Raw genomic sequence first — 27905 nt, 5'->3', positions numbered from 1 at the left:
TTTCTTTCCCATTAGCTATCCTTTAGGAGATGAATCTTGATTCATTTTTCTCACTGACACATAAGTTTAACATAACATTCAGAGAAAGCAGTGTTTTATTGTGAAAAGAGTACTGACTGGAATCAAAAGACCTGGATTGCAGGTATGACACCAGCTGGTTGGGTAATCTTGATCAAGTCACTTCACACTGGGCTTCAAGTGCCCTCAGGTGTAACTCACTTCGTTGACTGAAGGAACTCAATTTGTACTAGTATGCATGTGAACATGTGTTTGTTGTGTGATTTCAAACTCTCGGTTCTATAAATGTTAATCAAAAAAGATTTAAAATAAGTATTTGTTAGGTTCCACAGTTCCCTAAAAACATACTGGAGATATAGAAAAGAAAGAAGGTTAATAAGAATGATTAAGACAGTATGCAACACTTGAAATGGCTATTCAGATGAAAGAAGTCTGTAGCTCAGTTTTGAGCTCAGTTTTGAGCCTAGACATGCTACATACATACACACTAGATTCAACTGGAATTTTTCACCAACTCACCCACTATCACTCCAAATACACAAACTCCTTATCTGAAAATGTTCCTTATTAATTTACTGGGGACTTTTTAAATTGAATTTTTTCCTATAGAATACTAATGCATCTTCGCTGTCTAAATCTTCTCTAAGTTAACAAAAACATCTTCAAAATAAATAAAAGTGTCTCTTATTTCTTCATGTCAATTAGTTCTCTTAATTAATGTGTTTTTACTCATGGTAAAATCTTGCAAAATGGAATTTCTGTGCCAACCAAGCTAGCCTAGACTCAAAACACCAAGAAAGGTTACTTTTACACCTATGGTAGTAAACCAAATAAAAGAAACAACTAAAACACATAGTACTTCCAAATATTAAAACAGATGCCCTTCTGAATTTCAACCCACTTTATCAAATCATCAGAGTAATCTCTTATTTGACTGGTTCCTTATAGTAATCAAAATAGTTTAAAATGAGTGGACAACATGTTTTTTATCTTTATATATCTCAAAATAGTGACTGGACAATCTTTTGTGTTTTTCTGAAATTCCTTTCCAGAAGTGACAAAAATATATTTTAAATGAAATATTCTGGCTCAGCATCTATTCAATGTAAATTGTGGTCAATAAAAAGTGATTTTCCTCCAAATAAAGCTGTTTGCTTTTATTTTTAGTTTTATTTCTGTGGCCAACTAATTGAAACTAATTGTAATAATTAATTAAGGCTTGGAATGACTTTCTTTCCTAAAAATAGTCCCACAGAACAGCGTCATCGCTGTCAGTATCTTCAATATGCTTCTAAATCACAGCTCCTGAAGGTTAACGCTGGACATGGTGGAGGCAGCAGCACAGCTGTTTCATCTCCCTGAATTCCCCCATAAAACTGGACAGGACAACTGGATAGCAAAACTCAACACCTATGGACAACCTCTCCAACCAAACGGAGGGACAGTATCCCTTTATCTCTACAAAATTTGAGCAGGTGAAGACAGACCATGACAAACAGCAGTAAGATCTGTGTGGTATCAGCAACTGTAAAGAAGGAAGCAGAAGAAAGTATGGTGCCTCTGATAAATCTTAGGATCCAAAAATTATCAGGAGCTACTTCTTAGAAGCACACAAGACACTGTGAGAAAAGCAACTGAAAGAAGAAGGGCTCTGCCACTCCCACAGCCAGGAAGTGCAAGGGGTCCTTGGTGAGGTCTCAAGAGGCTGAAGCCTGTTGCCTCTACAACTCTCAAAACTAACCAGCCAAAGCCCCTTCTAGGTCAAAGCCTCAGGCTGAGGAGAAACTGCTAGGGATGAAGCCAAAGTGAACATCACAAGGATAATACGAAGAAAGGAAAAAGAAAGTTCAAATGAAAGTGGATCTATAAGTTAGCCTCAGTATTTTGGAATACTACACAAAAACAAGTGAAGAGTGGGATCTAGAGAATGACATACACTCACCCTGAACCAGACTATCTAAAACTAATTGCATATAAGGGAAAACTGGCTGCATACGAAACTCAGCAACAAAAATGGATCAAAGCCTAGTGCCACACTAAGTTGGTATTTTTAAAGAGAAAAAAAATCCCTTTAGAAAAGTACATAAGAAAACATGCCTCCCAAAAGGTTGATAGCTATAAATTAGTATTTCAAAACAAGCTAAAAAACACTTTATGTACAGACTAACATCAATCAGAATTAGAAAAATTCAGAAATCAGATGACAGAATAATTGAAAATGAAAGACAAAAATCAGTTCGGAAATAAAAACTACATGAGAAGGAACATAAGAGTAAATAAAACTTTTTAATGACAAGAGAAATAGAAAGTGAAAAGGAAAAAAACAAAAAAATCAAAAAGGACCAAAAAATGTTTAAGAAAACATACACAAAAAAACCAACATACATATAACAAAGAAAATCAAAGCAAGGGAACAGAATATTAAAAATCATTTAATTCAAGAAAACTTTCCTGAACTTCATTTAAACATAAAACTACATTTTGAAAGGTCATATCACATACATTTGAAAAATCAACCCAGAATGACCATCACCAAGATATAATTTAGTTAACTTAATAGTAAATGAAAATACTTTTTGAGCATCTGCAGATATTTTATAAGGAAAATAAAATCAAATTGTCATCACTTTAACAGCAACATTTTATGCCAGGGGAAAAAAAGTAACATATTTAAGACTCTAAGAAAGGAAACATGAACCAAAGATTTTATACCCAGCTAAATTTCGAGTATAAAGACTGCTAAGTGTTATCAATATAGAAAACAGCAATAAGAATCTACTAGAGAAGAAGCCCAGTAGAAGGGGTCTGCCACTCCCATAGCAATATCCAAAATGACTAAAGAAATGTCAATATCAGTGAGCAGTAAATATATACTTGTAGAACTGAGACTCAACAAGGGTTATAAAAGAGAGAAAAGAGTATATAATGGGCAAATGTACTGACACTGTAGATATAGTACAACTATCAAAAAATGGGATAACATACGCAAAAAAGGCAACTTTCCAGAAATCATATTGTGATACTTGATTTTGTTAACTAAGACTGTTGTGTGCATACATGTGGAATGATGCAAATGAGTAATTATGTGATATTATTATTCTATCATTCTCTTGTGTCCCTGAACATCAGGATTCAGATATGGAAGAAAGAGACAGAGATAAAAGATAGAATAGGTAAAGGTAAAAATGCTGTACTTGGAAATATTTTTAGTTCAGAATGTATCTTTAAAATAAACACATACACAGAAACACATCTTTGTATTTCCTAGCCCCATTCACTAAAAAGCTTAGAAACAATAATCAACCCAGCAGCAAAGAGCATCCCTAGCAAACAAATTGTAGTCTTAAAATACCACTTCCCATGAAAAGAAACCAGGTTCCTTAACAAAATGATTATTGCTCCTATAATTAATATTCACCAAGGGATCAAAACTGGAAATCCTCTCATACTCAATGAGCATGCCCAGTCCATTCCCACTTCCCTCTCAAAAAAAAAAAAAAAAATTAAAAGAAAACACTCCTAAGCAAAATCTGTACTTTATTTCCTGTAAACTATGAGTAACCTCGGCTCATTTTTCTTTTGAATTATTAGTCTTGCTTTTTATTTCCAGGCACATCTTATATGTTGTATATTAAACAGAGTAGCTCTGTGTCTTGCGCATAAACGTTAAGAAGTCACTGAAATATACTCAGCTGCTCTGCAAGAGGCCACTATGACAGAAATATTTCTTTAAAATGTATCTAAATGAAACTCCCTCCTGTGGCTTCTAATGGAAAAAGATGTGGAGGATTCCCTCTTGCTCTTGCTGGCCCCTATAATCTCAGGTGGCCTCAGGCAACCAAAGGCCCTGTCAATCCTTAGGGCCTGCTTCAGCCAGGTATAAGCAGGGCCAATGGCAGTGTACTAATAAATACTTGTTCAATACTTATCTTTTAGCATCTTGAGAAACACAAAAGACTTAAATACAGCTGGTATACCACATACTCATATAGAGCTATTTAACACAACCTTCCTAGAAAAAAAAAAATTATACTTGGTGGCAGTTATAATTTTTTTAGTGTGCTGCTGAATTCTATTTGCTAATATTTTATTTAGGAACAAGACTGATATTTAGACGAGATCGGGCACACTCAGGGTGGTATAGCCATAGACAAGACTGATATTCATAAGAATGGTCTGTAGTTTATTTTTTCTGCTACATTTATCTGTTTAAGTATCAATATTATGCTCACTTCATAATAAGATTTTGGAAGCTTTTCTTCCTTTACCACAATCTAAGGAGTTTAAGCAGCATTTGATCTATTCCTTAAGGTTTTGAAGACTTCAACTGCAAAAGTCTGACACTACAAAGTGTTGGTAAGGAGTTGGAACAAACAGAACTCTCCTACACTGTATACTGTTTCGATCATTTTGAAAATTCATTTGGCAGTACCTGCTAACCGACCCAGCAATTCAACTTCTATGCATGTACATGTCCACCCAAAGACATGTACAAGAATGATAACAGCTTTATTCACAACAGCCACAAACTGGAAACCTGTATGTCCAACAACAGGAAAATGAATATAGTAAGACGGATGGACATACCAAACACTGTGTTAAGAAAAAGCAGCACCAGACAGAAGAGTACATACTATATTCCATTTACATGAATTTCAATAATAAAACAAATCAATGGTGATACAAGTCAAACAGCAGATATCACTTTGGGGACTAAGGGTCAGAAGAAATGGCTGGAGGTGGATGGTTCCTAGGGATCTGGTAGCATTCTATATCCCAATCTTGGTGTTTAAACAATTGGTTCATGTTATAGAAAGTAATCAAGAAGTATACTTATTATTTCATCCTGTTTATTTATGTAAAATTAACACAGTAAGTAAGGTACACAAATCACAAGTGTGTGATAACAGTCAGTGTCCATTCAGGAGCTAGAAAACAAACAATCAATTAAAACAAGAAAATGTAACATAAATAAAAAATTATTAATTTGTAAAAAGTTGTCAAGTGCTAATAGATGTAAAAGACAATTTGAAGGAATATGGAACTAGCAAATATAGGGAGCAGTTACTGTCTCCAAGGCTAAGGGAGAGTGCCCAAGAAAGGAACACTTCACTGGACAGACTGTGGCAGTGACCCACTGAGCGGTAGGGTAGTTCTCTGTAGGGCCAGTGAGCTACAGCTTATCCACAGGAATCTGCTGCCCACGAGATACTGGTGGGAGCAAGAAGCTGCCTACCAGGGTGCTAATGAAGCTTACAGGAGAGTAAGTAGAGCTGACAGCCACACCTTAAGAGATTAAGAAAAACAAACAAACGAACAAAAAAACAAGCACATGGCAACAAGAGAAGCACTTTCTCTGCTAAGTCTTGCAGTATCCCTTCCTCACCTTCTACTGACAAAATCTAACACTGTCCAGGAAAAGAAAAAATATTTAAAAGGTCTGGCTCGAGTATATAAATAGAGCAAAAAGGGGTGAATTTGGAGTTGAGAGGCAATAAATTACTAACTTGCACAAAGTAAACTGACAAAATTTTACAAACGTACATACACTTGTGCGACCACCAGACAGAACATTTTCATCACACCATAAAGTTCCCTAGTGCCCCTGCCTGCCAACACCTATTCCTGTTCTCCCAGACAAAGGCTTATTAATGTGCCTCTCAGGGTGTGCCCCTTTCTTTAGAGAACACAGTTCTGCCAGCTTTCCTGACATCTGTGTCTCAGGTTCCCTTTCAGCATCCTCCCATACCCTGTTTGACCTTCACTGAATTTGGCAGCTCCTTATTTTCTAGTTCAGGGCTACAGAAGCTTCTCAGTTTCTCAGAATATGAAATCACTGTTTCTCAATCTCCTTGTTGCTTTTCAGGCAATTTCTTAAAAGAGGAATTATTTAAAACCAGAAGTCCCTGCTCAAAGAAATAAAATAATCACAAGTATTTGCTTCAGTAAGTTAGTGAGTTTTCTGAAGAACTTAAAATACTAATTAGAATTAAACAATCACTTTAGTACATTATAGGTTTCTTCTAATAATGAAACCGATGCTTGCATTAAGGTTTCTATTAATGAATATACCGAAAGGCACAAACTTTAACAAAATTAAATCTTTCCACATAATTTCAGCCCCTCTGACTCTATGCAAGTCTACTTTTATAGTAGCCAATGCAACAGAGAGGTTTCAAAGAAAAAAAAGTTTAGCATTACATAATCTGACCACTTCTTTTCCTCTGATATTAAATGAAATGCAGATGCAACTGAAAAGCACATCAAGATGCAAATCAATACTGCCCTTTGCTGAAATCACTCATTGGTATATTCCATATTAGCATATTCACCAAAATTTAATTGTAAACAGAGTAATTATGGTACTAAAGTTATTAAATACACAAAGCAAGCTTGGAACTATACATATTCAAATAGAATTTCAGTGGCAGATCAACTTTTATATCTGCAACAATACCCTAATTAATAGTCAGCTCTGATGATAAAATGGTCCTCTGTTTTTCAGATAACATTCCAAAAAAAGTTCTGCTATGAATATTAAAATAAAGTTTTGTGAATAGATTTTTAAAAATTTCAATAGCTATATTTATCACAATATGGTACTGTATTTAGACAACTGGCATTCTTCAAGTCCTGGATTCAAATTTGGAATTTTTTTTTAACCTTCTGCTGAAGAGAGGAAAAAGGCTTGAATGAATCACAACAATGACACTTACACTTAATGAGCTCTATGAATTCATCATACACAAACTGGAAAATTACAATGCTGAATAAAGCTCGTTATATACTGAATGACTACTCATAAATTTTCCCCAAAATAGTTCTGCATGTAAACTCCTTTAGGGGGTCATGTATTTTTATGAAATTTTCTTTAAAGTCATAAACTTCTCTGATATGTTTTACACTGTATAGAGACACTCTGATTCAAGGATAATTCTGGACAAACTGGACTCCACCATTCTATTAACATGGAACCAACATATTTTTATCTCCATTCTTCCCAGCACAAAGCCTTTTCTCTCATTTAACCTCTCCTTATACATTGATTGACATTTTCCCCATACCTAAAGACCTATCTCTTCTGAAGTCAGATATGACCTGAAGTTTCAGTACTGTTTGTACCTCTTATTGCATGTGACAAATAACTTTCCCTATAAGCTTATAAGCTCCTCGTATATGAGAAATGTCTTAGTCACAATACATTGTAGTTAGCAGGAATTCACTAAATCCATAAAATTAAACAGCAAAAAAGTTTAGTATTTTTCCCCAACTACCAGATATCTAACTTTATGTTTAATATACATCACCCAACTGCAAAGGACAATGTCATTCCTCAAAAGTCCAGCAACCACCCTCTACAATGACTATGTCAAACTCTATTTATTCTTCCTCAAAACTCTAATTCCCCTTCCTAAGCCATAATTATCAACAGATGACCTACTCTAGTTTAGAGAGAAAACAGAAACTTCAGATGGGAATTCCCTATCTTTCTAAGAGCCACACCTACAAACCACCTGCACCCACTTCAAGCCAATCCTAGCTTCCTTCTCTCCTATCACATTGAAAGAAACTATCCTCCTCCTATCAAACATCAAGTCCTTCACCTTTGCTTTGGATCCCATCCCCTCCAACCTTCTCAAGACTTACACTATTAATTAATCCTTCTCTAATATATTCAATGTCTCCCTCAACTAGATCCTTCCCATCAGCTATTAAAAATGCTTATGGCTCTGCCATTTTAAAAAATTAATGTTTTTGGCCGGGTGCGGTGGCTCACACCTGTAATCTCAGCACTTTGGGAGGCCGAGGCGGGTGGATCACGAGGTCAGGAGATCGAGACCATCCTGGCTAACATGGTGAAATCCCGTCTCTACTAAAAATACAAAAAATAAGCCAGGCGTGGTGGTGGATGCCTGTAGTCCCAGCTACTCGGGAGACTGAGGCAGGAGAATGGTGTGAACCCAGGAGGCAGAGCTTGCAGTGAGCCGAGACGGCGCCACTGCACTCCAGGCTGGGCGACAGAGGGAAAAAAAAAAAAAAAAAATTAATGTTTTTAATCCCCCTCTGCTATCTCTGCTATCATCCTTTCTTTTCCCTTTCAATGCCAAATGTCTGTACTTGCCATTTCAATAATCGTCTGTACTTGCCAATATTTCCTTTCACCTACTTATCCAACTCACTCCGAGATCCGCCTTCATGATTCCTCTCTAATAACCCTTGCTGAGGTCACCAGTGACTTCCATGCTATGAAATCTAGCTGACACTGAATCATCTCATTTGCCTGCCCAGAAGCACTCAACACTGCTCATTCTTTCTTTCTTGAAACATTCTCTTCCTTTTGCTTTCAAAATACAGTAGTATCCTGGATTCCAGTCTACCATTTAGGCTACTCACAGTCCTAGGCAATTTGAGGAATACAGTAAATTCTTTTTTCAAGATGAAATGAGCTTTCATTCAGGGAGCTTGTTCCACTTTATCATATACAGTTTTCCAGGGTTTTATCATGTTAAAAAAGCAGACCACCTACATTTCCACAGCTTACACCAAAATACAAATTTTATTATGTGAAAATAAATTATATATTTAAAAATGTGCTACTCAATAAAATTAAGATCTTTGGAAATTCAGGACATTTATTTGAAAAAATAATTGATGTTTATTCCTTTAAGTTAACAGATCTCTAGGAAAAAGTTTGTAGTCTCAAAGAGGTATCTGTACACCCATGTGCACAGCAGCACTATCCACAATAATAGTAAAAGGTGGAAGCAACCTGAGTGTCCATTAACAGATGAATGAATAAATGTGGCATGTATATACAATGGAATATTATTCAGCCTTGAAAAATAGAAGTAAATTCTGACACACACTACACCACAGATGAATCTTGAGGACAGTTATGCTAAGTGAAATAAGCCAGAGGCTGGAGGGAGGGAGAAAAGAGAGTTGTTGTTTAGTGGTATATAGAGTTTCGAATTTGCAAATTAAGTTCTAGAGATCTGCTTCACAACAATATGAATACACTTAACGCTACTGTGTACACTTAAAAATGGTTAAGATGGGAAATCTTCTATGTTTCTTATCACAATTTTTTAAAAAAGAAAACAGTTTCTAGATGCAGCAGATAAAAAAGGCAGAAATTAAGTTGAATCAAGATAATACCAACGTGTTCCTGATGACTACAGAATCATTCCTGCCCCCATACACACACAACTGGAAAAGCATTACAATTGGTATTTTTTTCAGAGGTTATTCTTATAGATGCTAATTACATAAATCTACTAGTTATCACAGCAATAAATAAATGTTAACTGTGGATTATGTAAATTCATGAAGGGTAATGACATAGTCTGTTCATTCACTCACTCTACAAATAGTCACTGATAATCTACAATGTGCCAAGCACTGTTCTAGGCACTTGCTATACCTCAAGGAACAAAACAAAGGTCCTTCTCTTTTGACACATTCTGGCAGGAAGAGACAGATAAAAAGAACAAATAATGCATATGTTACCTAATATTTCAGAAAATCCAGTCATGTTTTAAAAACATAAAGCAGGTAAAGGGAGATAGAGGATAGGGAGTAGAAGGTAGAAGGGGAAAGCTTGCAGTGAAACAGAGTGGTCATGGTCAGCCTCCTCTGAAAGGACTTTGCTCATTGGAACAAGGACTTGAAGGAGTTGAGGAAGAGGACCATGTGAGTATCTGGGCAGAGAGTATAGGCAGAGGGACGAGTTGTGCAAAGACCCTAAGGTGGGAGCACACCTGGCAACCAAAGAGTAAGAATGCCAGTGTGGCTGGTGTGGCGTGAGCAAGGGGGAAGCAGGAGATCAAGTCCCAAAGGTTAGCACAGGAGCAAGAGATCAAGTAGGGCCTTGAAGGCTACTGTCAGGACTCTGAATTTCACCACAGGGTAAATGGATTTCTACAAGGTTTGGAACTTGCTGTATACTTGCATTGTAGTTCACAACACTTCAATCAAATTGAAAATCATGCACTGAACACCTAAGTCAAGAAAAATTCTCCTGCTGACTTAATTCTCACCAAAGATTTTACATTTGTTATATTTTTTGCTAATGTGTTAGTCCATTCTAAAAATACATTCCATCTATAAACTATATAAGCTTGATACAAATCCAAAATGTTAAGTGCTTCTGTAGTGCCTCTGTCACAAGTCACCTCACGATAGGAATGGTTTTGCAATGAATCAAATTCTGTGCCTAAAAAGTAGAGAATAGGACTAGACCCTATTTTCCCTTTAATGTAAATATCAGTAATTTAGTAGTGCTATTAGAGTGAATGGTCTGCAACTTTTTGACAAGAAATACAAAAACTTTACCATGCTACACCCCTCTTAAAATTTAAAATAAAAACAATACTGAGTCCCATTGGAATTCTACATTATTACAATACATACTGCCTGCTTAATTAATTTGTTTACTCAACAAGTATTTATTGACAGCACACTCTGTGCAGGAACTGTTCTACAAGACAAGAATAAAAAGTGAACAAAGCAGACAAAAACTCCTGCCTTCATGGAGCTTATATTTTATTCAGTAGAGAAAAATAATTTTCTAAAAATTAAAACATGTCATATGTCCAATGGTATAAGGGCTAAGGAAAAAAAAAAAAAGGCAGGGACAGGGAGTTGGGGGCGGGAGGGAATGAAATTTAAAAAGATGGTCTGGTAAAGCCTCACAAGAAAGTGACATTTAAGCAAAAACTTGTTAAAAAAAAAAAAAAAGTGAGAGAATCTAGCCACACAGATGCTCTAGAGGAATAGCATCCCACATTGAGGGAGGAGCGACTACAAAGGCGTTAAGGCAAGAACATGTCCAGCTTGTTCTAGAAACAGCAAGGGGACTGGTGCAGCTGAGGAAGAATTAGCCAGGGGAGAGCAATGGCTGGGGTCAGATGTAAAGAAGCACAGAGGTGGAGAACATGCCCAACACTCAGGCTATTGTAAGGACTTCAACGTTAACTCTGAATGGGGAAATCTTGGAAGGTCTTGAGCAGAGGAGTGTACATGTTCTGACTTGCACTTTGAATGGATCACTCTGGTTGACGCATCAAGAATAGACTGTAAGGGGGCAAGGCAGAAACAGCTACCAGTTATTACAACTGTATTGCTATTGGAAAAAGCAATAATTGCATTTATCTTTACTGAATAAGAATGTCAATGTTTTTTAGAAAACAGCAATGACTTTTTAGCCACTAAACAGAGGGGTATAGAATAACCTAAGAGTTCTGGTATTTTGTTTTGTTTTGTTTTTTTTAACTTTACACAAGCTGCCCTCCCCCTCAAAAAACAAGTCTGCAGTGCCAAGTAGAAACAATTGGTATTAGTGACAGATGGTCTAGGAAGCATGCTAATCATCTCTTACTCTAGACTTTCTAAGCTCTCTCTTTATAGCTATTTAGTTTGCCAGGAAATTAAACACTTGAACTCCTTTTTTCCAAAGGCATTTATAAAATACCTCCAAAATATGTGCCAGGAACTGTGCTAGGGGCTGGAAATTCAAAGATGAAGGAAATGCAACCTTTAGTCTCAAAAAGCTGCATTCAGCTATATGCAGAAACAGCATCACACAGTTATGATATAATATTATGTATCAACTTCAAACAAGGATCAATAAAAAACTTCCCAGGGAAAGAATGTTTCTGAAGCCTTTAATAAAAGTATTTATTAAAGATAGTGAACAGTTGTGGACATCTACAAAATCAAACTCTCTAGGGTTCATGGTAGGGAAAAAAGTGTCTCTTCCAATGATGCAAGTGTTTAAGATATCAAGAGCTATGAAACTCCTGTTACCTCTTTTGCAGTGAATGCTAGGAAATTCAGAACAAAATTATAAAGCCAAATGCCTAACGATCCATCATCTAAGGCAGTAACATCTATCTTAACTATACATTAAAATTATTAGGTTAGTGCAAAAATAATTGTGGTTTTTGCATTGTTGGAATTTGCTGTTTGATATTATAATACATTCTTAAATAAATGTGGTTATGTTATACATCATTTTAATGGACATTTCTCACTTTATGTTTTTTGGCTAATGACTTATTGTTTGCTGTTTATTTTGTTTATTTTAGACTATGGAAATGATGTTAGACAAAAAGCAAATTTGAGCAATTTTCTTATTCGAGTTCAAAATGGGTTGTAAAGCAGCAGAGACAACTCACAACATCAACAACGCATTTGGCCCAGGAACTGCTAACGAACATACAGTGTGGTGTGGTTCAAGAAGTTTTTCAAAGGAAATGAGAGGCGTGAAGATGAGGAGGGTAGAGGCTGGCCATTGGAAGTTGACAACGATCAATTGAGAGCAATCATCGATGCTGATCCTCTTACAACTACAGAGAAGTTGCCGAAGAACTCAACGTTGACCATTCTACAGTCATTCAGCATTTGAAGCAAATTGGGAAGGTGAAAAAGCTCTATAAGTGGATGCCTCATAAGCTGAGCAAAAATTAAAAAAAAAAAATCATCATTTTCAAGTGTCATCTTGTCTTATTCTACACTACAACAATGAACCATTTCTCGATCGGATAGTGATGAAAGTGAATTTTATACAACAATCGGCAACAACAAGCTTAGTGGTTGGACTGAGAAGAAGCTCCAAAGCACTTTCCAAAGCCAAACTTGCACCAAAAAAAGGTCATGGTCACTGTTTGATGGTCTGCTGCCAGTCTAACCTAGTACAGCTTTGTGAATCCTGGCGAAACCATTACATCTGAGAAGTACACTCAGCAAATCGATGAGATGCACCAAAAACTGCAACACCTGGAGCCAGCATTCGTCAACAGAAAGGGCCCAATTCTTCTCCAGGGTAACGCCCGACTGCACGTCGCACAACAAACACTCCAAAAGTTGAATGAATTGGGCTACAAAGTTTTGTCTCATCCGCCATATTCACCTGACCTCTCACCAGCCGACTACCACTTTTTCAAGCATATCAACAAATTTTTGCAGGGAAAACGCTTGCACAACCAGCAGGATGCAGAAAATGCTTTCCAAGAGTTCATCGAATCCCAAAACACGGATTTTTACACTACAGGAATAAACTAACTTACTTCTCATTGGCAAAAATGTGTTGACTGCAATGGCTCCTATTTTGATAAAGATGTGTTTGAGCCTAGTTATAATGATTTAAAATTCACAGTCCAAAACCGCAATTATTTGTGCACCAACCTAATTATCAGTGGAACTTTGGAACAGTAAAGGCCTTACTCCACAACAGCCCCAGCATCTTTATATTTTCATGCTACACAGGGTACTGTGATGCACAGACTGACCCACTGACCTAGATATTCTGGTACATCTTACTTTCTTCATTAAGTCATTCATTTTCACTTTAATTGCTCTATTACATACAAGTCTACCGTATCTGAGGATTTTAATAAAAGACCTTTCCAGTTCATTTTAGAAGTTGGGTAAAAAATAAATTCATGAGTGATTTAGGAGGAGCCAAAAACACCACTTTTTTCCCAACCCATCATATCCCTAAGACAAAATGACTCATTTATATTTCAAACTTATTTGGGATTAAGAAGTAATTACATATTTTGGTATAACTGGCCTCCTGCCAAACTACAGTAAGTCAGAATAAAATCAAACGAAAGATAGTCAGTCAACAAAGAACTCCATCACCTCCTTTGCTAAATTACATCAGGAACAATTTGAAAGCAATACATCTAAAGACAATCCTCTTATAAATGTGCCAGCTAATCAGAAGTTGATTAATGCATTTGATTAGTGCTAAGAAATCATTTGAAAAATAAAATACAGAATCTTGAGTTTATAAAGCCACTTCCCAGTGACACAGAGGGTCCTCATATATTTTCTTCATTTTGATCCCAAAAATCCTATGATTGAGACAGAACTGTAAGGATATTCATTAGATATTAAAATTCACTTATGACCAAAATCACTAAACATAAAAAACCTAAGGAAACTGCCCCCAGGTTCCTGTTAGGAACACCCAATCTGTCCCCAGGTTTCACTCAGAGGAGAATTATGCATATCAATGAAAGTATAAAAAAATTCATGGCTATATGGTACCTTTATAACATTAAAAAAATAAGTATCAAAATATAACACAACAAACCATGAGATATAGAAGTGAACCTCCAGAGATAATGATCCCATAAATTCATAGATTTATCCCTGAAAAACATTAAGCTAAACTCAAACTGTGATACAATCTTTAGCAGCAATTGTCACACTAGTCATGTTTTCACACCTAAGCTGGAAAGAACTAGGTGAAGACTCACGTTTCTAACTCTGAAAAAGAAAGTGGCTATCTTCAGAAAAGAAAAAATTTCTTCCTAGTCAGAAATTTTTTTACTTGTATTAGAAAAGTGATCAACGTTAGGTTATAAAATGTTTTGGTATAGTGAGTAAAATGCTTAAAATATAGTATCAAATGTACTTTCTCAACTTTTATTCCTTAAAAAACTTCTAAAAGTTCTAAAAGAGAAACACTAACTGCAGAGTTAGTTTTCAACTGAGAATGCACAGTGTGGTACATTTGCAAACACAAGCCCAAGACACCTCACTGCTATCACTTTCCCCTACAAGGGAAGCATTCCCTGAAGCCTTAACTGTATTTCCGTTTCTGACTTTTGAGATAGTAGGTAGAAGGATCCATTCCTGGGTCTCAACAGGTCTCCCAGAAACGAAAGTGATGAAGACACTACAGTAACATCCATTCCTACAGAGACCAGAAAACAGAATCACTGTTGTGCCTATCCAAGAGAGTCAGACCTAGGAAAGGAGCAAGCCAAAAGATGTCAACTTCAAAAAGCGGTGACACCTGGCTCCTTGACCTTATGGCCCATGAGAAGAGCTCAAAGGAATGCTTCTTTATATAAAGCAAACACTGAAACTTTTCTAAAATTAGAAACTGTGAACTATATAGCTAATACTTTTACATAACACTTAGCATATTTTCAAAATCTGGTAAATAGATTTCTCATTCATTCTATTTAGGGAGCAAAATTAGTGAGCAAACTTTTACAATTAATTCTCTGGATGTTCACTATATAATAATCTATCAATAGATCTGATAGAACAGCTACTGAACAACATTTTTCCCTATATAGTCTTGGGGCAGGGCTCTATGGGAGAATATTTCCAAATACTCTAAGAGGAAATTAAGGTGACTAAATAAAGTATAACAGAAGTGTACTGTGGTCATTAAAAAAATTCATGAAAACATGAAAGAACTTTTCAGAATCTCAGAGACAAGAAGATTTTTCTAAACACACAAAACACGCAAGCCATAAAGAAAACTGATAAATTTAACAAAATAAAAATAGAAATTCTCCACAGATTAAAAAAAAGCCATAAACAAATTCAAAAAACAAATTAAAAATACCTGCAAAACATATGACTAAAGGCAAATTTTCTTAGTATTTAAAGAACCCTTTAAATTATAAGACTAAAGCCCAACAGAAAAATGGAAGAATATGAAGAGGCACACTCACAGAAAAAGAAATAAATATGGCTTTAAAGAAAAAAACTTCTCCTTAGAAGAATTTTCAAATACATATGAAGTAGAGAAGTGATATAATGAGTGTCCACCTAAACATCAGCTAATTTCAACAACTATCAACAACACATGGCCAATTTGTTTGTTTCTACTAACCCCTTCCAAGATTATTTTAAAGCAAACCTCAGACAACACATCATTTCATATGTAAATACTTTTAACAGGTACTTTTTAAAAATAAATCCACCATATATTATTGCCACACCTAACAAAATTAACAGTAATTCCTTAATGTCATCTAATAAGAAGGGTTCAAATTTATCCAGTTTTCTCAAAGAATGTCTTCTCACAGTTGACTTTGACTCAGGACCCAAATACTAGTCAATGCACGTGGCTGATGTGTCTTTGAGTCTCTTTGAGTGCCACTGTTCTCTTTTTTGTCCTTCTTCTTGTCATTTGTCCTGTAAAATTTCCCATTTTGAATTTTGCTGATTGTGACCCTATACTGTCACTTAATCTGTTCCTTGTATTTTTTGTTACTGATATTGTTGCTCAAATTACTCTACCTGTTATCAATGCCCTTCAGCCAAGACCACCAATAATTAAACGAGACAGGCTTATTACTCATTGCAGTGAGGGAGAACACACACCACAGGGCACCATGGGGCATCTCAGTAAGAGGATGTTAAAATCAATTACACAATTTGGGCCTCAGTTTAGTAATTTGGGGGAGGGTCTAAAGAAGGAGGAGTTTCTCTACATTGGATGCTGTCAGGAAGTAGGGTAATTCTGTGGTTACGTATCTCAATAAATCTTACCTAAGGGAGGGGAGATGAGAATGAAGATAAAACTGTAATGGGTAAAGCAGCGGTAGTCATTCATTTTGGCTAAGTATTTTGTAGGTGGCACAGTGGTCTTGGTTTTTGTCTATGCTTTGCCTCATTTTATTATGATCTCTGAGAAACTTTGTTGAAGGTATTCTGTGAGACCGCTTATGTTTAGTAGGAGAACATGGCCTACCGGTGAGGCTTCTGAACATCAGGGGCTGCTCATTTCTTTTTTCTTTCCCACTGGACAACGGGGGCCCCTTCAATGTGGCCACTGTTTCCTGATACAACCCTACTAGTCTTGGAGCTTTTCCTTGCTTTCCTAGTACAAAATGTTCCAGGTTCCTTCTGTACATTTTCCTGTCTCAAGCCTACAATCAGCCACTTCTACAAGGGGCCCTATTTCCTTTTAGTTGAAAGTGGTACTCGGAGACCAAAATCTGGGCACTAAAATATTATTTCTAGGTTTTTTGAGTGGACAGAGCAAGAAGATTTTTTTTTTTTTCCAGACAGGGTCTCCCTGTCACCCAGGCTGAGTGCAATAGCAGAATCATGGCTCACTGCAGCCTCGGCCCTAAGCAATCCTCCCACCTCAACCTTCCAAGCAGCTGGGACTACAGACCAGTGCCACCATGCCCACGAATTTGTTTTGTTCTGTTTCTTTTTTTTTTTAGTAGAGTGAGGTCTGGCTATGTTGCCCAGGTTGGTCTCAAACTCCTGAGCTCAAGTGATCCTCCCACCTCAGCCTTCCAAAGTGTTGGGATTACAGGCACGAACCACCGCACCCGGCTTTTTTTCTCATTTGTTAAAAACCTTGGTTCCTAACAATGTCAACCTAAATATTTAACTGATATATTTTCCTCTTTAAGTTTTAAAAATGTATAAAACATTTACATTTCCAAAGCCCAAACAATATAAGGTATCTTCAGAGAATCCTAGATTCTACCCCTCCGTCTTTATTATTTTTCCCCTCAAATAATGGCTTTCACTAGTTTTGGGGTTATCCTTCCTGTTTTCTCTTTTTAAATAACAAATAAAATACATTTATCTGCATCCCTCATTTCCTAGATGAGAGATAGAATATTATACACCTTGTTCTTCACCATGATTTCTTTCACTAACAATATATCCTGGAAATCAATAACAAATAGACTCAGCTTCATTAATAAAATGCAAATTAAAATTACAATGAGACTTAATTTACAATTAAAATGACATTTTTTAGTTATCACATTAGTCATATTCAAAAAATAAGAAAATGCACTGGGTTGGTAAGAGTATGAGGAAAAAGGCATAACAATTTGGCATTATCAAAATTTTAAATGCATACTCCCTTTTGCTCACAAAGTGTACTTCCAGTAATTTATCATGCAGGGATACTCACGTACTGTCAAATATACATGGATAGTTACTGCAGCATTATATACAATAAAAGACTAGAAAGATCCTTAATTACCATCAAGAGGGGACTTTTAGGTTGGACCGCAATTACTTTTGCACCAACATAATATTAAATGAAGCATGGCATATCCACAGAATGGAATATTAGGCAGTTTTAAAAATAAGGTAGCTCTACATACATTGGCATGGAATATTCGCCAAGATATATCATTAAGTGAAAAATACAAGGAAAGAACCTTGTATGAGAACATTCCTATTCATATAAAAGGACCATTATACATATGCTGCATATGCTTGAATATGTATGACTGCACCCCTGGGAGCTGTGCAACAATGTATCCCCACGCGTGTACATATAGCACATTACTAGGAGGCTATATAATCAATTAGTAGCAGAGAATGCCTTAAGGGTGGGAAGCTTAATTTTCATTCTTTGCTCTTTTATATTGTCTAAATTTATTATTGTGTGCATGTATTAATTTTTCAATTGAGGTATTTTTTAAGAATTCTTCATGAATAACAAAAAGAACTTTAGTAAATAAAATGTCAAGTAATTCTTTCCAATATTAGTCTAGAATTTACCAGTGCTTCTAAAGCATCAGGATCAACACAGTCAGCCCTGTCAACTGCCACAAGTTAAAACACTGCAATTGACAACATAGAAAAATAACTCTCAATACCTTAATCTGCAGACAGGATCATACCTTCATGTTTTGAAGATAAAGATGAGGTCAGTCTTTAAAGAGCAATAGTCTCTAGTCTTTAAAGTACTACAGTCTCTAAAAGACAAGTAACTGAAAATGAATACTGATATCAAGTTCTTACATTAATATGATCACTTATTTTTGCTCAATTAATCCTAAATGAGTAATCTATATCACAAAGAATCGATTAACCATTAACTAGAATTTATAGCTCTTATGTATAAATGAACTAATATATTACAATTAATACCATCAATATTCAAGCATCTATATGGCAAGCTATATGCTGGGTAACTTAAACACATTATCTCTAATTCTTAGGATAACCATAAAACAAAGGTATAATGATACTGACTGTATCATTATATAAGGAAACCAAGGATAAGTGAAATTAAATAATTTGTCCACGGCCTTACAACCAGTAAGTTGCAAGGAAAGTGTAATTTTTGTAAAAATGCCTTTTTGCTAATTAAAAGAGAGCACATACTGCAGAATAAATCATGTGCAAAACAAGAAGTCTTAAGGTGGAAAAATATTTGCTTTAATGACTAATAACACAGCCATAAATATAAATGCCATAAAAATAGTATAAAAGATCAAACCTAAACATACTCACACATTACTATAAATACATATCCCATGGCCTAACTCTGTCAAGTGAAAAGAAATATGACTTCCAAAAATCCAAAGGACAAACGTAGTAATGAAATAAATCACTGATGTAAATAAAACGTCTTCCGAAAAGTTTTGTTTTTTTAATATACTAACACAAATTCAGCTGAAAAAAACTTGATGTATACGCCACTGAAGAATATATGAAAAAAGCTAAGAAAATAATACATATAAAATATGCACTTAATGAGACTATCTTCTAGATTCTAGTCCAAAACCCTGAAGATTCTAAAGTCTGTTTCTTCTGTAATCTCAGGGTTTGAATGATGGCATTTGTGTTATCATTTCTTACTAAATGACCCAAACAAAATCAACTACTCAAGAATCTAATTCTGCCTATATGCAAAAGAAAGTAAGGTGAAAATCCCAGTCAGCACCGAGCAGTGTTAAGAGCACTGGACTGACTACACACCCTTGTTCACAATTCACAGCAATTGTGATACTGTATTACCATTAGTTATGTATATGTCAATCTCTTGTGACACAGTTTGTGAGGATCGCCAAATCAGGGACCCTGTCTTACCTTGGTATCCCTTCAATCTAACATATCTGCCACATGATGTGAAACCAACTGATAGTTCTTAAGAATGGGCTGAATTAAAGTCATGGTCCAGGTCTACCTGTTGTGAACTTAAGACAAGACCCAACTTCTCCAGGTCTTTTTTCCTTACCTGTAAAATGAAAGGCTAGGATTAAAGTCAAAGCCAAGCATTTTACCTACTGGTTTGTAGGAAAAGGAGCAGAGTTCATTTTATTAATATAACCAGTATGAACCACAAATGATCTATTCCAATAACCAGTAGATGTACATTTTCCAATCTAAAGTAATCCACATGTATGTATGTTGCTAATGGAACCTGTTGCCAAGAAAACATAAAAGGGCTTGAAAACCCTCTTAACCATCCTGCTTAATACAGAACGAACAGTCTCTGAACAAAATGGAAGAAAAAGAAAAAACATTTTGAGTTAAAAGTAAATCAGAGTGAACATTAAAAGGTTAATGAACTCAAAAAGACAACTAAGCCAGTTTAAAAATGGGTAAAGGATTTGGACAGACATTTCTCCAAAACAGATAAACAAATGGCCAACAAGCAAACAAAAAGATGCTCAGTATCATTAGTTGTTAGGGAAATGAAAGTCAAGACCACAACGAGATGCCACTTCCTACCCACTAGGACATATATAAACAAAAAGACAGTAACAAGTTTTGGTAGGATCTAGAGAGATCTGAATCCTTACAGATTGTTAGTAAGAATATAAAACAATACAGCCACTTTGGGAAAGTTTGGTAGTCCCTAAAGAACTTAAAGAATTACCTAGGTATACTCAAGAGAAATGAAAACACATACCCACACAACAACTTGTACATAAATGTCCATAGCAGCACTAATCATAATAGTCAAAAAGCAAAAGCAACCCCAAAGTCCTTCAACTGATGAATGGATAAATCAAATTTGGTACACCTATACAATGGAATATTATTCAGCAATAAAAAGAAATAAAGTATTAACACATGTACAACAGGGATGAACCCTGAACACACGTTAAGAAACTGGTCACAAAACACTACATATTATATGATTCCAATTACGTAAAATTTCCAGAATTGATAAATTTATAGACAAAACTATTCGTGGTTTCTTAGGGATCAAGTAGGGAATGGAGAATGACTGTTAATGAGTAGGGGGTTTTAGTACTGATGAAAGCATTCTAAAATTAGATTATGGTGATGGTTACAGTCCTGTGCATACACTAAAAGCTACTGAATTATACCTTTTAATGAATGAATTGTATGGTATGTAAGTTATATCTCACTAAAGCTGTTTGCTTTAAAAAAAAAAAGGTTAATGAGAGGGAAAATGTGATAGCAAGGATAACAAAGAAAAATAGCTACACTGGATTATAGCGTTCTGTGGAAACTAAACTAAATATTTTCAAAGAAGGGTTAAAAGCACCTCAAAGCAGGCCACTAAGAACACAAAGAAACCAGCAAATGGTAGATTTTCTGTTCTGTCATCCAGGGTAGTTCCTGACTCACTCTTCTTAGAGACACAAACATATTATACAGTAATTTGGAACGTATGCCACTTTCCAAGATGGAAGAGAGAATTTGCCAAGACTACAACTCACTGATCTTGAATGACTTCTGCTGATTCATGAAACTCTATGCTGTGTATGTGATTCTTAAAAGTTCAAGTACGAAACTGAAGGTAGGGACAAGTAAGATGAATAGTATGTGCAGATGACTTTCAAAAATGGAATTTGCTCCCTTCTGCAGGAGATAGCTAATTTTTTTGTTAATGGAATTGGTGTCTTCTACCATGACTTACTAAACAAAGCATGATGAGCTCCTGGCAAGGGACACAGTATATTAGTAAGATCAGAGGCTGGGCGCGGTGGCTCACACCTGTAATCCCTGCACTTTGGGAGGCCAAGGTGGGTGGATCACTTGAGGTCAGGAGTTCAAGACCAGCCTGGCCAACATGGTGAGATCCCATCTCCACTAAAAATTCAAAAAATTAGCTGGGCGTGGTGGCGTGCACCTGTAATCCCAGCTACTTGGGAGGCTGAGGTGGGAGAACCGCTTGAACCCAGGAGGCGGAGGTTGCAGTGAGCCGAGATAGCGCCACTGCACTATCAACAGAGTGACACTCCATCTCAAAAAAAAATTAAAAAAAAAAATCAGAAGAACAGGTGATCTTGGACTTGCCAACGTGATCAATAAAACTATCTTTCATCAGCAGCTAAGTTCTAGATAGCACATTCGAACTGGGAACAACATAAAGCTGGGAGATGTTATGAATATTTTAGATAACACAATCCAGATATAAGAAGATTCTAACAAGCCTCAATACAACTACAAAAGTAGGTAGAGATCTAACAAACCACAGTCAGAATGAAAATCAGAAAACATTCCATTCAAATCCTTCATTTCACAAATGAAGCTGAGTCAAGACGGATTTAAGAATATGCCCAAGTGCAGAAGGCTCATTAAAGGTAATCTAAGGTGGAGAATACTGGAATCCTAACTCCCAGGCTTGTGTCCAACAGACCCAATGCCACCTGTTACTACTTGTATAGATAACCATATGAAAAAAGTAAAAGAAGGCTTGATCCCTACCTCATAACACACAAACAAATTCCTGGGGACTTTGACCTAAATCTGAAAGGCAAAATACTAAAGCTTCTAGAAGATAACATAAGAAAATAGCTTCATCGCCCTAGAGTAGCAAAAACTTCTTAAACACAAAAAAACACTACCCGTAAAGGAAAAGATGGATACATTGGAATTGATTAAAATTCAGAATTTCAGTTCATCAAAAACTTTATGAGAGTGAAATGACAAGCTGTAAGACAGGAAGATTTTTATAATTCACATATTCGACAAAGGATTCATATCCAGATACCTTATAAACTCCACATTTCAATAAGAAAAAAGACAATCCAATCTGTTGAAAATGGACAAAAGACTTGAACAGGAACTTTATAACAGAGGGTATCCAAATGGCCAACAAGCATATGAAGAAGTGCTCAAATTATCAGTGATTAGAGAAATGCCCACGAAAACCACACTAAGATCTTCTATACAGCCACTAGTGATTAATTTTTTGTAATATTTAACTGACAATATCAAGGGAAGCAAAGCTGCAGAGTAACCGGAACTTTCATATGTTGGTAAAAGTATAAATAGGTACAACAAGGATGAAAAACAATTTGGCAGTGTCTATTAAAACTAGACACATGGCCAGGTACAGTGGCTTACACCTGTAACCCCAGCGCTTAGGGAGGCCGAAGCAGGCAGATCACTTGAGGTCAGGAGTTGGAGTCCAGTCTGGCCAACATGGAGAAACCCTGTCTCTACTAAAAATACAAAAATGAGCCAGGCGTGGTGGCAGGCGCCTATAATCCCAGCTATTTGTGAGACTGAGGCAGGAGAATCACTTGAACCTGGGAGGCAGAGGTTGCAGTAAGCCAAGATCATACCACTGCACTCCAGCCTGGGTGACAAAGGGAGACTTCGTTTCAGAAAAAAAAAAAAAAAAAAGAAAGCAAGCAAGCAAGCAAGCTAGATGCATATACATTTTGACCAGGAATTCTACTCCTACATATATACCCAACCAAAATGAATATAAAAGTATGCCAAAAGATACATACATATACATAAGTATATGATTATAGCAACATTGTTCATAATTGCCTCAAAATAGAAACTATTCAAATACCTAAAATGGAATGAATAAATGAATTTTGCTATGTAATTTGTGGTAGTTTTTAAAAATGACCACAAATTCTTTGACACACCTCTCATAAAGACATGAGGTCTATGTCCCCTCCCCTTCAATCCAGGCAGGCTGTGTCTTTGTCAACCAATAGAGTATGGTGGAGGTGAGATTATATGACTTCTGAAGATAAGCCACTCTCAGGAAGCTTCCTCTGGACACTCAGCCAACATGCTGTGAAAAGCCAAAACCTCCTGACCCCACATGTAGGTTTGGTCAATAGTATCAGATGATCCCAGTCTTCTAGACGTTCTAGTCAAGGTACTCAGCCAACATGCTGTGAAAAGCCAAAACCTCCTGACCCCACATGTAGGTTTGGTCAACAGTATCAGATGATCCCAGTCTTCTAGACGTTCTAGTCAAGGTACCATACAGGAAAGTGGAGAAGCCTCTAAATGATTCTAGACCCCAAGCATTGTAGGGCAGTGATAAGCCATAACCACCAAATTCCCAATCCACAGAATCCATGAGCATAATAAAATGGTTGTTATTTTACACTAGTAAGTTTGGAGTGGTGTGTTACGCAATAACCAATAATCAAAACTAGTGTGTTATGCAGGGATAGATAACCACAACTACAGAGCTATTTTTAAAAATAACAAACTACATGCAACAACATGAATGAATCTCAGACACAACATCGAGTAAAAGAAGTCAAGCAAAAAAAAAAAAAAAAAGTCCAGAGGGCATTATTCCATTTACACATGAGTTCAAAACCAGGTAAAACTATAGTTATGTAAGTCAGAATCGTGTTTACCTTGGGTGGGAGTAACTACTGTCTGCAAGATATCCCCACATAATCTGGGCTTCTGAGGGCTAGAAAATGAGTATCTTGATCTGGGTAGTAGTGATTACAGGGTGTTCACTTTGTAAAACTTTAAAAATAATTGAGCTTGATGCTTCTGCACCTTTTTGTTACACTTCAAAAAAATTTTTTTAATCAATGGAGCTTGGTAACCCAAAGAGGCAAGGGTATGAGGGAGAAATAAAGGATGACTTCCAAGTCTTCAGGAATGACTGACTAGGCAGTTCCATAAACTGAACAATTAAACAAAAACAGGGGCAGAAAGCAGGGACCATGTCCTATTCATTTTTTATTCAAGTATCTACCACAGTACTTAACACAGAGTCACTCCAGCATTACAAGATACTCCTATTATTTTCATCCCAACTTTTTGACCACCACTTCTTGGTCTCCTTTCTTACTTCCTTTCTGCCCAGCTGCCTCTTAATATTGGTATTACCCAGGCTTCCATACTCAATCTCTTTTCAATCACATGCACACACACACACACACACACACACACACACACACACAGAGGGAGAGAGAGAGGGAGAGAGGGAGAGAGGGAGAGAGACAGAGAGAGAGGGAGGGAGAGACAGAGAGAGAGACAGAGAAAGAGAGAGACAGAGAGAGTGACTTCTTTCTCTTGTATTTCCAATCTCAGTGCATAGCATCATCACATACATGTTCTTTTAGGCTAGAAACTGCCAATTAAACCAAGAACTAGGATTCCAAAATATCTTTAAAAGTTGCAGTTAGTTAAATTCAATAAAAAGAAATTTAACAAGACAAACATAAGCTCCCATGGTTGGACCCCAAAACTAATGCATACAAACAGGATGAAAAGACATAGCTTAGATAGATGCAGGGATTTTATTCAACTTTATGTTCAATGTATGATGTGGTCACAAAAGGATATAGCTAATATTAATAAAATTATGTAGAAGAAGGAAGGTGATATTCTTCCCTTAACTCACAGAAGAAAAGTGTTATATCTAGAACAAGAGATACAACTCTATTTCTCACGTATCAAGCCATGTCTGGAGCACAGAATTCAATTCAAAGCACTACAGTTTAAAATGAAATTTTTTTAAAAAGAGGAAAGCCACCAATGTGGTAAACTGACATGAAACCATGCCATGTAAGGAATAGCTAATGAACTGGAGATGTTTCAAATCAAAAAGACTGAGAATACTTGATGACTATTTTCACATATTTGAAAGGATGTTACGTGGAAGAGGGATTCAGCCTGTTCCACATTTCTCCAAAAGGCAGAAGTGAGTAGAAGAAATTAAGTAGACTTCCACTCAATGTAAGAAAGAATTTTCTAATGGTCAAAACTTTAATAAAAATAGGATAGGCTGTCTCTAGAGCAGTGGTTCTCAACCAGAGATGATTTTGTCTCTGTAGCCAGAGATGCCACTAAACATCCCACAGTGCAGAGAACAAACAGTGACCCATGTAAAATGTCAACAGTCCCATGGTTGAGAAATTCTGCCCTAGAGATAGTGAGTTCTCTGTCGTTGGAGGCATTTCATCATAGACCAGACCATGTGATGATGTCACAAGAATGGTGGGCCAGGAATGGTGGCTTGTCATTCCAGCTACTCAGGAGGAGGATCATTTGCTCCCAGGAAATCAAGGTGGCAGTGAGCTATGATCGCACCACTGCACTCCAGCCTGGTTGACAGAGCGAGAGGAAGGGAAGGAGGGAAGGAAGGGAGGGAGGGAGGGAGGGGAATGATGGGAAGTGAGAGTGAATTGAAAAAAGTTTTGTTTCAGATACCTCTCCAGAGAAAAATACCTTCAGGTATATCAAAGTGAAAATGATGATGATGACAAACATTTATTGAACACTTACTGTGGGCCAGACATTACACCAAATGACTCATGTATACAGTTTGCAGTTAATTCAACAACTCTAAGATAGGTATTATTTTACCTTGATTTGATGCTAAATTGAATTGCTCTAATGTCACACAGCAGTCAATATTTGAACTAGATCTACCTGACCCAATTTTATATGTCACTGTCCAAAGCATAAACATCAAATGACTTTCAAAGCTTTCACACTCTGGAAAAGAAATGAACAAGCACATATTCCACAAGTATCAGGACAATGTCTGAACAGGTTTGTACTCACTGTAAACCTAGCTGGCTAGGAGAAAGAGGAAAGGATTATTTGAAGTAGTCCTGTGATGAAGAAGAGAACAATTATCCTGATTGTCCCCAATTGCCTACTTCTGTAAGAGCCAAGAAGCTCTTATATACCCATGGAGGATGGGATTAATGATGACATCCTTTTATCCATAGGCGTGAAAGCTCAGAATGGACAGACGTTTGAACATCCCCGACTGGGAATCCTGCCCTTAACAAATACACTAGATGCAGATACATGGTTTCTTGGCTGCCTATACTCACGCCCATCTGTCAGGATGGCAGTATGCCTGCTCACATGTTGGTCAAACTGTCACTAGGGCATAGGTGCCAAGCAATGATAGTTTTAAATGGGCAGCTTGCATAGCACTATAAGAGCTTGCTCTTCTGCAGAAAAAAAAAAAAAAAAAGAAAAATTCTCTGTGATAATACTGAAGGGCTGCAAATCACAAGTGAAATATTCTTGGTCAATCTCAACATTTCAGTGGAAAAAAAGATCTAGACAAGTAGAAAAGAATCAGAATAAGGAAGTTAAATCAAACAGAACAGGTACTTTAAAAACATGTGAGATGTTGCATGAAAGCTTTTAACACTGCCCTTCTTTCATTAACATGTGTCAATGGTAACCTCTTACACTGTAAAATCCTTGCCTCAACAAGTCATCACTGATTTTTTTCTTAATGGAATGATACATTTTTCCATGTTCTAAATAGGAACAGAAATGCATTGATTTCTAGTAGTTCGACACTATACAGGTTCTATTTGTTGACTGATTATTTTTAAAATGACTTAAGTCTAATCTACAGCCATGATAATCTTTTAAATGCACAAAAGAAAGCAGAAACCAAAGAGATCCCCACAGATAAACGGCAGGGGAGGGGAAGAGTATAATTTGCATGGAGAAAGAAACTAACAACTGAAGTAGGCACTAACAAAATGGAAAGTGAGTACTTTTGCTCATGAATTTAATAGGACTCGAGGGCAAAAACATAGATCTGTTATCTTTCACATCCCCCTGACTACAAGCAAAATGTTCCTATACTACATCTAGGTTTCTAGTGTATCCTTTAATATCTCACATGAAATATATAATGTCTTTACTGTCCGGAAATTCTTCCCTAAGACCAAAACCTTAAAGCTGCAATTTGAGCCATTTGTTCTTATGCAGTCCTCAGGATTTTGAAGAACAGCTGGTCATCATCATTCTCTGTATAGTTCTTCACATACAAGTATCAGGACATACTGATTAAATAACCCCTGAGTCTCCTCTTTGCCATGATAAATAAATCTGATCCCATTAACTTTTCCTCATTGGACCGATTTATGAACTCTTCATGTTTTTATCATTTCAGTTGCTCAACGCTTGGACTCTTTTCAGGCCTGGTAAGAAATGTCACCCACATCAACAATGAGCCAACGGAAACTACTCTTTTTCCCAAATGTACAACTTAATAACAGTAGCATAAATACGAAACAGTTTGGAAGTCCTGCTGACTTCTCCATATCCATCACTGAGGACAGCAGCAAAAGTTTGAAATCTACCACTGCCTTCTAGAAAATACTAGGAATTTA

General features: G+C 36.4%; 1 protein-coding gene across 10 annotated transcripts in view; it reads right to left on the bottom strand.

The window, feature by feature from the left end:
* VRK1 (VRK serine/threonine kinase 1) overlaps positions 1-27905 on the bottom strand; it is an 84228-nt gene that overhangs the window by 48882 nt on the left and 7441 nt on the right. For 4 of the 10 annotated variants that reach the window (XM_047431752.1, XM_017021625.2, XM_047431754.1 and 1 more), the window contains exon 1: positions 118-26415. The exons of 5 other annotated variants lie outside the window; for them this stretch is intronic. In XM_047431752.1, coding sequence (XP_047287708.1) covers position 118 — 1 coding nt within the window. In that variant the 5' untranslated portion in view covers positions 119-26415. Of the gene's footprint in view, positions 1-117; positions 26416-27905 lie in introns of those variants that run through there. One more of the 10 variants, XM_047431753.1, reaches the window with a different exon arrangement.

This window comes from Homo sapiens, chromosome 14 (genome assembly GCF_000001405.40).
Source record: "Homo sapiens chromosome 14, GRCh38.p14 Primary Assembly".
Taxonomy (NCBI): Eukaryota; Metazoa; Chordata; class Mammalia; order Primates; family Hominidae; genus Homo; species Homo sapiens.
This window is presented reverse-complemented; position numbering and strand designations above follow the sequence as displayed.